The sequence below is a fragment of the Homo sapiens genome, chromosome 13 (assembly GCF_000001405.40).
Source record: "Homo sapiens chromosome 13, GRCh38.p14 Primary Assembly".
NCBI lineage: Eukaryota > Metazoa > Chordata > Mammalia > Primates > Hominidae > Homo > Homo sapiens.
In genome coordinates this window covers 24,419,258-24,432,407 of record NC_000013.11, presented here as the reverse complement: position 1 = coordinate 24,432,407, position 13,150 = coordinate 24,419,258, and the positions used below count along the sequence as shown (strand labels likewise).

The 13,150-nt window shown below is 41.0% G+C and overlaps 1 protein-coding gene across 1 annotated transcript in view, besides 1 other annotated feature; it reads left to right on the top strand.

Moving 5' to 3' along the window:
- PARP4 (poly(ADP-ribose) polymerase family member 4) overlaps positions 1 to 11,477 on the top strand; it is a 91,848-nt gene extending 80,371 nt beyond the window's left edge. Inside the window, exons 32-34 of the mRNA NM_006437.4 lie at positions 932 to 1,031; positions 5,810 to 5,942; positions 11,094 to 11,477. Of these exons, the coding sequence (NP_006428.2) occupies positions 932 to 1,031; positions 5,810 to 5,942; positions 11,094 to 11,289 (429 nt within the window). The 3' untranslated portion in view covers positions 11,290 to 11,477. The remainder of the gene's footprint in view (positions 1 to 931; positions 1,032 to 5,809; positions 5,943 to 11,093) is intronic.
- Positions 12,290 to 12,795: an enhancer, noted in NCBI's record as "NANOG hESC enhancer chr13:24993751-24994256 (GRCh37/hg19 assembly coordinates)". NCBI's record gives its function as "activates a minimal SCP1, AML or CMV promoter by ChIP-STARR-seq in naive H9 embryonic stem cells {active_cell/tissue: H9 hESC(naive)}" and the evidence as "EXISTENCE:reporter gene assay evidence [ECO:0000049][PMID:30033119]".

Below are 13,150 nucleotides of genomic sequence, written 5' to 3'. Positions count from 1 at the left end.
GGTGACTTTTTGTATGTCAATCATATTTCAATAAAGTGGGTTTTTTTTAAAGAGGGAATCATGCATGACATATACTTTAAAAGCTTGAGAAATACCGGTTCAATGCTCATTGCTAGTTGACAACCCAGTAGGGTGACTATCGTTAACAATACATTGTATATGTCAAAATAGCTAGAAGAAAATATTTGAAATGTTGCCGACACAAAGACATGATAAATGTTCAAGCTGATGGAGATCCTAAACACCCCGACCTGATTATTTACATTCTATGCATGTATCAAAATATCATGCGTATGTCAAAATACATACAAGTATTATGTATCAATAAAAAATGAAATAAAGCATTGCTAGAAGGAAAAAAGTACCATTTAAAAAAATCTCGGCCGGGTATGGTGGCTCACGCCTGTAATCCCAGCACTTTGGGAGGCCGAGGCGGGTGGATCATGAGGTCAGGAGATTGAGACCATTCTGGCTGACATGGTGAAACCCCGTCTCTACTAAAATAAAAATTAAAAAATCTCTACCCATGAGCCTCTTTCCACACTTTTTATAAGTGCCACCAGATATGTAGTGTTCATAGCATTTATGAGGTTCCAAACAATACTATGTCACTAGTGTATGAAGAACTTTATTTTACAGTAATAAAAATGTTAGAAATGCCTTAATTAACTGAAATAAATGGAAACATTTATCACATAACTTCTTTTTTCATTTAATTTGTTAAAGTTTTATTTTAGATGCAGAGGTACACGTACAGGTTTATTACATGGGCATACCGTGTGGTGCTGAGGTTTGGGCTTCTAATTGTCTTGTTGCCCAAGTAGTGAAAATATGTTTTTCAACCCTTGCCCCACTCCTTCCCCCACTACGTAACTTCTTATGTGATAAAATGTGAATAACATAACTTATTTTTGTTTCCTTAATTTTGTAGGATGGCTTCTGGAAACTTACACCAGAACTGGGACTTATATTAAATCTTAATACAAATGGTTTGCACAGCTTTCTTAAACAAAAAGGCATTCAATCTCTAGGTAAGGCACTATGTTTCCATTTATTAAGTCATTATTTTCATTCATTAATAAGCATGCTCCTAATTGTTGTAAACTGTTTTGTAAGCTAGTGTATTAATGTAATAATTATGAAAGTTATATTCGAATGGAATTATATTTAACCATTAAAGGAAATGGGAGATGGGTTTCTAGTCATATTTTTACCACTAATTAGGGTATTATCTGAGCAAATTTATTAGCATAAATAGCACCAAGTGCTGTAAAAAAAATCTCAGAAGCTTAACATGGTAATCAAAGATTACTTTTTTGTCCGTATCACAGTCAAGTATTGGTCAGGAAGAAAGTTCCACTTATGTGGTCATTTAGAGACCTTGACTCCTTCCATACTGTGGCTCCACCATCTTCAATATATGTCTTTAAAATTATCCTGGTAAGAGAGAAGAACAAAGATTACCCTGGCATCATCCCCCTGCTAGACAAGAGGAAGAATACTAGTCACATAGCCCCATCCATGTACGAAGGCCTGAGAAATGTACTGTTAAGCTGCGTGTCCAGGAGGAGAAAAGAGCTCTGATGAGCTCCTAGCCAGCCTCTGCCAGAGGCAGTTGTTCAACCTCTGGACCTGTTTCCTATCATGACAACAAGGGGATAGATGAGGAAGTCCTGAGCATCCTTGACCCAGCAAGTGGTTTGAAGGTCAAATGCTAGCCCTAGGACAGGAGCTGTTGTTTGTTTGTTTGTTTTGAGACAAGATCTGGCTCCCTTGCCCAGGCTGGAGTGCAGTGGTACTATCTCGGCTGACTGCAACTTCTACCTCCCAGGCTCAAGGGATCCTCCCACCTAAGCCTCCTGAGTAGCTGGGACTACAGGCACCTGCCACTATGCCTGACTAATTTTTGTATTTTTTGGTAGAGATGGGGTTTTGCCATGTTGTCCAGTGTGGTCTCGAACTTGTGAGCTCAAGCAATCTGCCCACCTTGGCCTCCCAAAGTGTTGGGATTACAGGCATGAGCCACCATGCTCAGCCTGGAGATTTTTTTTTTAAATAAAATACACATTATTAAACAACTAGCCAATATTCATGGATAGATAGAGCAGCAGCGTCTCACTGCCCCACCATCACCTCTAAAATGCCAGAGTTTTCATATTCCAGGCTGGGTGGGTGGGCAAATGCATAGCCTGTTTGACCTGCACTAGGCCAAAAAGGGGTGATGACAATTTACGTGAGGAGTGAGTGCTTGATCCTGGAATAATAGAAGAGCCTCTATCTGACTAACTCTCCTGCCAATAACAGTTATTAACTTTGAATAAAATATTTAAAACCATTCTTTGAAGGCCAGGAGAATAATCCAAAACAGGCAGAAGCTAGAGTGAACATAATCTTTGAAAGAAAGAAAGCCAACTAGGTGGGCTCCACACGTATCCAGCTTGTCACCTAAAGGCATTTCTCAGCTCATGAGACACAATGGGATGTTTGAACTAAAACAGAAAGTCTTAACGGGATGAGGACATGGGGTTGGAGTTTAAGGTTGCCAAAGTGGCTGGAAGTTAAGGATTAAAATCCTATAAAGGAGGGAACCACAGAGCAGGGAACTCTGAAATCTGCATCCAGATACCCCGCAGATCCTTGGCTGTCTCCTAACCTCTACATATACAGGTGCAACCTCAAGGAATCCAGAAAAAAGCAACAGCTGGGAAGCTACAGAGCTAAGCAGAGATTTCAGCTGCTGCCTAGTACTGGCCAGAGTTTAGAGTTCAAGTGGCACCAAATTAGAGAGACTTTATAAATATCTTTCCATTGAAACCATAAAAGGGTCATAAGGATCATATCTCATGATCAAGGACTATACCCCAGGACATAGGGATAAGCCAAAATAGACCCATCCTAATAAAGCCTAAAACAAAGCCTACACAGGACCTACCAGAACAAAACTGAACATTCTTTAGAGTAAGATAGCATAGCTGAGAGTCTCTACAAGGCGTCATTTTTAATGTTCAGTATGGAATGAAAATTTAATAACATACGAAGAAGCAGGACAATATGATCATGATCAAGGGGAAAATGGGCTATAAATGCTGACCCACAGATGACCCAGATGTTAGAATTAGCAGACACAGACTTTAAAACTGCTATTAAAAATATAGTGAAGGATTGACTTACCAGAAAAGGATGGAATGGGTGAATCGCAGAATCTCAGCAAATAGATGGAAACTATAAAGAAAAACCAAATTAAAATCCTAGAACTGGAAAATATAGTATCTGCAATGAAAAGGTCATTGAATGAGCTTAACAACAGAATGGACAGAACAGGAAAAAAATCATTTAATTCGATTGACAATGCACTCAATAAACTTACCTAAACTGAAATATAGAAAGAAAAAAAATAGAATGAAAAAAGAACAGAGGAGCCAAGACTGTGGAATGATATCAAAAGGTTTAACATTTGTGTAACCAGGGTTTCAGAAGGTGAAAGGTTAGATAGAAAAATATTTGAACATTTTTGTAAAATTGATCAAAGACAGCACCTTCCAGATCCAACAAACTCAGCAGAACTCCAAGCACTATAAATACAAAAATGACCACATTTAGATAGGCCAGAGTCAAACTGTTGAAAACCAAAGATAAGCCAGGCACAGTGGCTCACACCAGTAATGCCTGCACTTTGGGAGGCCAAAGGGGGCAGATCATTTGAGCTCAGGATTTCGAGACCAGCCTGGCCAACATGGTGAAACCCCATCTCTACAAAAATTAGCCAGGCATGGTGGCGTGTACCTGTGGTCCCAGCTACTTAGGAGGCTGAGGTGGGAGGATCACCTGAGCCCTGGGATGTTGAGGCTGCAGTGAGCAGTGATTGTGCCACTGCACTCCAGCCCAGGTGACAAAGTGAGATAAAAATTCAAGATAAATATATTGTCAAGTGAGGCTGGAGCTCATGGAAGAGGTCAGAATTGGAAAAGACTGGGAAAATTCTCAACGTTAGTAGTATTTAAAGCCTGGCTCTGGATGAGATCACCCAAAGAAAGAAGGTGGACTGAGCAGAGCAGGTGCTAGGACCAGCCTGCTGCACAGCAGGGTTTAGTGTTCAGACTGGACAAGAAACAGCAAAGACGCTGAGAAGGAGCGGCCTGAGAAACAAGAGGAAAACTGGAGAAAATTGAGTCACAGATGCAAGGGGATGGGATTTCACAGATGTGCCTTATCCATGGGCTTTTCCTGTGTTTCACTGTATTGCTCCCTATTATCTGTGTTATTTTTCTGTAAGCGTGTGCTTTTCTGCCTTCCTTCTTCGACGTAGAGTCTCAAGCTGTCTTTTTTCTCTGACTTGTTTTTATATCTCTGTACCCAACTTTGTCTTTTATCCTCTTCTTCATTTCTCTTTTATCATCCCCTCTCCTTCTGAATTTGTTTTTTAAATGACGCTGATACACATTAGGTATTTCATCAGTTTATTATTTATTATATTATTCTTGGAGTTGTATGTTGCTTATTATTAATATTGCTTAAAAATTAGTCTAACATTTTGTAAATAATACTCAAAAAATAAGCCACAAAAGAATCCAGCAAATTAAACTGCTTTTGTCTCCACTGATTTTCTTTTGTGGGACAATGGATTGGTTTTGTTATTTTGTTTTTAAAAATGTATTCAATTCCTTTTTCCTCTATTAAGAACATTATATTATTTAATAAAAGCCCACTTACGAGCAGTTTTGGCTACCTCAACGATGTAAAATTAATGGTGTATATGCAGATATGTACATACTATGCCAAGTCCTTTTGTCTTTACTCAAAAAAAGTAATTGTATATTCTTAATTATAAGACAAAGATTTGGGTTTTTCTTTTCTTCCCTAAAACCATTTTTTGGCTATGTGTTGTGGCTCTTGCCTATAATCTCAACACTTTGGGAAGCCAAAGTAGGAGGATCACTTGAGTCCAGGAGTTGGGGGCTACAGTGAGCTCTGATCACACCCACTGCACTCCAGCATGACAGAGTGAGCCCCTGTCTTCTCCAAAAAAAAAAAAAAAAAGAAGCTTGGATTTTTAAAATGAAAATGGGTTGTTAATTGAGTTCAACACATGTAAACATTCATTTTTCAATTTTGATATTTCATAATATAGTAAAATATCTTGGATACCTATAGGTACTAACCACTAGAAATAATTTGATACACCAGTGTAATTAGTCATATCTGTTGTTTATCTGTTGAATATTTAGGTTTACTCTTCTAAGCTATTTGTAACAGGAGCCTAAAAACTGGATTTCTTTTAGTGAACTTCATGGCTCTTTGGTTATTGAAGATGGCAAGTGAGGGGCACTCTGGATACAGTTCAGTTTCCTGACAATGATCAGGATAATATCATAGGCACACGGGTCTAACTGTCCTCATTTTTTATTTAAACAGCAAACCATTTAAGGACCTTGAAGAGTATTAGAGTTTCACGATCTGCTCATGTACTGTGATTTAACCGTATTATAATTCTTTTTTTTTTTTTTTTTTTTTTTTTTGAGACAGAGTCTCACTCTGTCGCCCAGGCTGGAGTGCAGTGGAGTGATCTCGGCTCACTGCAAGCTCCGCCTCCCGGGTTCACGCCGTTCTCCTGCCTCAGCCTCCCGAGTAGCTGGGACTACAGGTGCCTGCCACCCCCGGCTAATTTTTTGTATTTTTTTTTTTAGCAGAGATGGAGTTTCATTGTGTTAGCCAGATGGCGTATTGTAATTCTTTAATGAGAATTTTATAAACAGGCACAGTTTGAGATGCAGAGTTTCCAACAGACTTAACGGAGTTTTTTTCCTTTTAGGTGTAAAAGGAAGAGAATGTCTCCTGGACCTAATTGCCACAATGCTGGTACTACAGTTTATTCGCACCAGGTTGGAAAAAGAGGGAATAGTGTTCAAATCACTGATGAAAATGGATGACGCTTCTATTTCCAGGTGGCTTTAACTATAGTATTATGCAACTTATTTATATTTTCAACTATTTATTTAATAAACCTTAGAAACAGCTATAGGGAATTATCTTACATGTGTACACTATAAGTATGTAGCAAGAGAATTTGTTTGCAGGTGACAGCTTGCCCATAGTCTCCTGTGGCGGGCAGGGCTGATGTATTTGTGCCTTGGGCTGCACAGGAAATGGGCTCAAAGAGTTTCAGTGCAGCTCCCGCTGGAGGCTGGCGCTTCTGGGCTCTGGATGTGGTACTCTTCACTGCAGTCTGCTGATCCTGGGTGCCTCCAGAAGACCCACAATGTGACTGTTGGGCCCAGCCCTGTTCCCAACAATGGCAGGGCCTGGGACAAGAATACAATACAAGTATTTAAAGTTTATAACTTTGTAGTTTATAACAAGTGTTTAAAGGTTATAAATCAAACTAGCAAACTATTAGATTAAATGTGTTCTAATCTCCTCCCTTGGCAAATACAACTTCATAACCACCTGGAAGGCCAGGTTCAAATTCGGCCCTTGGTTGACCCCCAGCACCCTAAGAGGGTTTGCCTGCAAACGTGAATACCCCACCCCACCCATCAAAATGCCATCCAGACCCCATGCCAGTGCCCCCTCACACCAGCCACCTTGTAGCACCAGTGAGATGGCAACACTGTTCAAACTCAGGATGACAGACCAGGGAAGACCCTGGAAGTGGACTCAGGGCCATGTGGTCAGGGATGCTGGAGTTGCAGGGTCTAAAAAGGAGGATATGGGCTCTGGGGTGGGCATATTCTCTTGTCCCTACAGACCCCCCACCCCATGGCAAGAGGGTCAAGACCAGAGTAGGATCCCTCTGAGATATATAGATATAGATATAGATATAGATATAGATATAGATATACACACACACACACACACACACACACATGCACACATGCATACACATATACACATATACATACACATGTAATTGGCTTATGTTCTTTTAAAGGCAAGATAAGGGGAAAACTAATCAAACTAATAATATTATTGCTACGGGGATTTGATAGAGGGGACAAAGATAGAAGCTAGGTTTCTCCTAGTGTGCTTTGTTTTGCAGTTTTGACTTTGGAACTGTGTAAATATTTTACATAATAATGCATAAGATTGATATTTATTTATTTATTTATTGAGACAAAGTCTGGCTCTATCGCCCAGGCTGGAGTGCAGTGGTGCAATCTCAGCTCACTGCAACCTCCGCCTCCTGGGCTCAAGCCATCCTCCCACCTCAGCCTCCTGAGTAACTGGGACTACAGGTGTGCACCACCACGCCCTGCTAATTTTGGTATTTTTGTAAAGAAGGGGCTTTGCCATGTTACCCAGGCAGGTCTGGAACTCCTGAACTCAAGCAATCCTCCCGCGTCAGCCTCCTGAAGTGCTGGGATTACAGACATGAACCACTGTGCCCATCCTGGGAATTAATTTAAGGTGAATTTAAAACATAGTACTGGCCGGGCGCGGTGGCTCACGCCTGTAATCCCAGCACTTTGGGAGGCCGAGGTGGGCAGATCACGAGGTTGGGAGATCGAGACCATCTTGGCTAACATGGTGAAACCCTGTCTCTACTAAAAAAAATACAAAAAAAAAAAAAAATTCGCCAGGTGTGATGGCGGGTGCCTGTAGTCCCAGGTACTGGGGAGGCTGAGGCAGGAGAATGGCGTGAACCTGGGAGGCAGAGCTTGCAGTGAGTCAAGATCGTGCCACTGCACTCCAGCCTGGGTGACAGAGTGAGACTCCGTCTCAAAAAAAAAAAAAAAAGTACATAATTTGACTATATCTCTCTAGTGGGATAGTACCTAAGGATTAAAAAATATTACAAAGAAATCTCACTGGGAGTAGTCATGGTGTTAATAATACTTTTGATTTGTTATTTTGGAAGGTAGATATTAATATTGTTAGAAACTAATATGTATAAAATCAAAGAAGTTAAACAAAACCCCTTGATTTCTAAACTTGAATTAGATCAGAGAATAGAGGAACATGTTACTTGACACCATGGAAATGCAGTCAGCGAAGTCTGGAATGTGGGGAAATAAATGGCAAGAGAAAAATAAATGGCAATAGAAAAAAAAGGTTGAGGAGCAGAACCTGTAAATAAACCTTTAGAGACATATCAACCAAAAGCAAGGGTAGACCTTGTTTAGGTCCTGATACAAACAAAACCCACTGCATTTAAAAAAATGAGATAGGAAAAATTAAACACTACCTGGATATTTTATGATATTAAAGAAATATTGATAATTATTTTTTAAGTGTCATGATTAAGAAAAAGTTCTCAAACACAAAACAGGTGTTCAGGAAGTTCTGGGCTAGGCAAATTGGCTCATGCCTATAATCCAAGCACTTTAGGAGGCTGAGACGGGAGGGTCACTTGAGCCCACCAAGATCAAGCCCAGAAGTTTAAGACCAGCCTAGGTAACCAATGAGACTGCCATCTCTACAAAAAACTTTTTGTAATTACCCAGGCATTGCTGGGCACGGTGGCTCACACCTGTAATCCCAGCACTTTGGGAGGCCAAGGCAGGAGGATTGCATCCAGGAGTTCAAGACCAGCCTTGACCACATAGCAAGACCCTGTCTCCACAAAAAAATTTAAAATTACCCGAGTGTGGTAGTGTGTGACTACTCAGGAAGCTGAGGTCGGGGGGATTGCTTGAGCCCAGGAGGTTGAGGCTGCAGTGAGTTGTGATCGTGCCACTGCACTCCAGCCTGGGCAACAAAGCGAGACCCTGTCTGAAAAAAAAAGAAAATCATAATTTACTATATGTAATTTATACTTCCATTTTTTAAAAAGCAATACCTTCTCATTAGTTTGCCAAGAAAGATGAGAATTTATTTTGTTTTTCTATTTTGGGAGTTTTCTTTTTTTTTGTTTTGTTTTTATTTATTTATTTATTTTTTGAGGCCAGATCTCGTTCTGTCACCCAGGCTGGCGTGCAGTGGCACGATCTCGGCTCACTGCAACCTCCACCTCCCAGTTTCAAGCAATTCTCGTGCCTCAGCCTCCTGAGTAGCTGGAATTAGAGGTGTGCACAGCTAATTTTTATATTTGTGGTAGAGATGAGGTTTCGCCATGTTGGCCAGGCTGGTCTCGAACTCTGGCCTCAAGTGATCTGCCTGCATTGGCCTCTCAAAGTTCTGGGATTACAGGAGTGAGCCACTACACTAGCCTATTTTTTGTATTTTATTTTAAAATAAACCAGTGCCACTTGCCAAGAGGATTAATTAAATAAATATCAAAGAAAAAACACTTTGAACAGCTAGGAGGTGGGACTAAAAAATTAGTATTGACTTAATAGGCACATCCAAAGACGCATTTATTCTATTTAGATCATTGCCAATTATTAATATTATAGCTGTTAAAACAAGTATAAACTTTGAACCTGCTTTTGAACTGTAATATCATAAAGTAAAGATTTTCAAAATTGATCAAGTATATTCCAGCATATTGCTCTTACTCCATTACTGCTACTGTGCTAGCAAAATGGTTTGTTGGCACTTGAGTACATAAGACAAACAATTTTAGGCCAGACACGGTGACTCACAGCTGTAATTCCAGCACTTTGGGAGGTTGAGGCGGACAGATCACAAGGTTAAGAGATTGAGACCATCCTGGCCAAGATGGTGAAACCCCGTCTCTACTAAAAATACAAAAACTAGCTGGGTGTGGTGGCACGTGTCTGTAATCCCAGCTACACAGGAGGCTGAGGCAGGAGAATCACTTGAACCAAGGAGTCAGAGGTTGCAGTGAACCGAGATCGTGTCCCTGCACTCCAGCCTGGCGACACAGTGAGACTCCATCTAAAAAAAAAAATTAAATATTTTTTATTTCCTGTTTATTGCATATTTGAAACTTTGTTCTATATTTTCTATTTCAGGATGTACATAACATTGATGCAAGAGCACATTATATGGGGGTGTAGGCACAAGATTTTCTTGCTAGCGGAATGTGAACCAAAAAGTGTAGAGGCCAATCAGTAAAAATATTCAAAGCCAGTTTTGTTGTTTTCAGCAGTTAGTAACTATCAGTAGATGAATATTTACTAGGAAACATTGGTCTTTTAACCACTTTGGGCATGCTTCTTATTTAGTATGTTCATCATGATTTAGTATCATGACATTCAGCGAACATTTATTGAGTGCCTACTGTGCACTAGGGACTAGTAAGCATGTTAAGTTTGTAAGCTTTGTTGATTTCCACCACAAACCCATAGGACCTCAGGTTATTCTCATAATTGAGGAAACTGAGATTCCCAGTGTTGAATGAAAGCCACACAGTATCACATGGCCAATATCATGTGATTGCAGAGTCAGGACTCAAACCCAGCTCTTAACCACCACGCTATACTGACGGCCCTTTCCCAGTTCACAGGGAAAATTCAGGAACAGGGAGAGAATTTTCAAAATATTAAGTTTCCCCATAGAATTTTCTGAAGAACTTTGGTATATGTTGCCCCTTGTTCACTAACAAGTTCTAGCAGATGACAGAACAAATGAGGAAGTAGCTAATTAATATTAATGAACAACCTCAGAATTTTTCTGAGTGTTGAATAGACTTGAATATTCAACAGTCTCAAATATTTGACACCATTTAGTGGACACAGACTTGACTCGATATGCTTATTCTACCAAGTTGTTCCTGGTTTACGTGACACAACTGAATGTATGCCAGTTTCATGGGGGACTCTCAGATATTCTGAAGGTACCTAATCAAGTCAGTACAGTGGGAAGGAGAGAGAAACAGAAGCCTCATTTGTGAAATAGTACTTGAGTTTGTGCGTGAAGAATGGATAGGATTTAGACTGAGAAGCGTGGAAAGGGGACAACCATAAACAACTGTAGAGCGGCTGGAACGTGAGCTGTGCTGCAGGCAGCAGGGATGCCTGGAGGCACGTGGAAGCCAGGAGGTGGCGGGCACAGGGCACTTGACAATGCAGTGCATAAGCTCAAGGTCAGACGGGCAGAAGAACTTCCGTAAGATGCCAAGGAAAACTGCTTTTATTAAATATCTTAATTTTTGGCAGAATCATTTTGTCTGATATAATGTGATGGGTTTAGTACCACATTACATTTCACATGTTATATTCTGAAATCTGAAACTTTTTTTTTTAATCTAGGAATATTCCCTGGGCTTTTGAGGCAATAAAGCAAGCAAGTGAATGGGTAAGAAGAACTGAAGGACAGTACCCATCTATCTGCCCACGGCTTGAACTGGGGAACGACTGGGACTCTGCCACCAAGCAGTTGCTGGGACTCCAGCCCATAAGCACTGTGTCCCCTCTTCATAGAGTCCTCCATTACAGTCAAGGCTAAGTCAAATGAAACTGAATTTTAAACTTTTTGCATGCTTCTATGTAGAAAATAATCAAATGATAATAGATACTTATAATGAAACTTCATTAAGGTTTCATTCAGTGTAGCAATTACTGTCTTTAAAAATTAAGTGGAAGAAGAATTACTTTAATCAACTAACAAGCAATAATAAAATGAAACTTAAAATATTTCAGTTTTCTGTGTCTCATTTTTTTTGTTGATTTTTTTATGTATTTTTTTTTTTTTTTTTTTTTTTTGAGACAAAGTTTTGCTCTTGTTGCCCAGACTGGAGTGCAATGACGTGATCTCAGCTCACTGCAACCTCTGCCTCCTTGGTGCAAGCAATTCTCCTGCCTCAGCCTCCCGAGTAACTAGGATTATAGGCACCTGCCACCATGCCCTGCTAATTTTTTATATTTTTAGTAGAGATGGGATTTCACCAGGTTGCCCAGGCTGGTCTCGAACTCCTGACCTCAGGTGTTCCACCCGCCTCGGCCTCCCAAATTGCTGGGATTACAGGTGTGAGCCACTGTGCCCGGCCTGTTGTTGTTGTTTTAGAGATGGTCTCAATCTGTCTCCCAGGCTGGAGTGTGGTGGTGCGATCATACCTCACTGCAGCCTCAAACTCCTGGGCTCAAGGGATAGTCCTGCCTCAGCCTCCCAATTAATTGAGACTACAGGCATGTGCCACCACACCCAGCTAATTTTGGGGTGTACTTTTTGTAGAGATGGGGTCTTGCTCTGCTGCCTAGGCTTGTCTTGAATTTCTGACCTCAAGCGATCCTCCCACCTCAGCCTCTGAATGTGTTGGGATTACAGGCATAAGCCTCTGCACCCAGCCGGTGTTTCAGAGTTTTAAGGTGATGAGAGATGCTTCTGGATAGTCCTGGGAGCCTGTGTCCTTCTCACATTCAGGAGTCCAGTGGAAAGCTGGCTCAGCTGGACTGAGCAATCTGAGAAGAAACATGATCTTTTGTAGGGGATCTGTCAGGGTGGTGGGAGAAATTATAAAAATTAAGTTGTAGGAAACAGACACAAAACTTCTTGGAAGGCCAGGAGGTTTGCATAGCTTCAGTAAAAGATTTGGCTGAAGGCAGCTGAATTCTCTTAAAAGCTCAGGGCGTAGATACATAGGAATGTAGAGGAGTTTATCTAAATGGCTTGTTTACTCATGTGGTCCTAAGATCAACCTTTGATAATCTGCAGGCACGTGACTGCCGTCTACTTGGGAGGTCAGCAATGTTAATTACCCTCTAGTGGTGTTTACTTAAGACCTTTGTCCTTAAATCTGTACTGAATAAATGCCTGGAGCCCCAGCCTGTCAGGGCCACAGCTGCTGACTCTTTACAGCACCCTCCTCAGTGTCTGGGAGCTGCCGGTCCCCTAGCCTGCTGTTTCATGGGATACCTGTGTCTGAGTGCATTTCTTCATCCGTCACACGGCCAGGGTATGGAGGTTGGACCCAGCAAGTTACTGACACAGTTTGAAAATTACACAGGATTGGTCGTTGAGTTGGATATTTTAGTCAACATTTATTAAGCCCGTGCCTCAGCAGTAGTTGACTTTTGTCTAAAGGGAAAGAAAGAAATTCTAGTTTTCCCAAACGTCCAAGGCTCCATCCAAAACATGCTGAATCAAGATTTCCAGAAGAAAATCCTGGCAACTTGGATATTTAATAGGTGTTCCAGGTTATCAAGCATATTTGAACACAGTGGCCCAGGTGCTGTATCTCAAAGTGTGAGTCTGTGGACTGGCATTGTCTCCCTCACTCAGGAGCTCATCAAGACAGGCAGAATCTCTGGTCCTGTTCGAGGCTATTGAATCAGAAGCTGCATTTTATTTAGCAAGGCCCCCAGGCGAC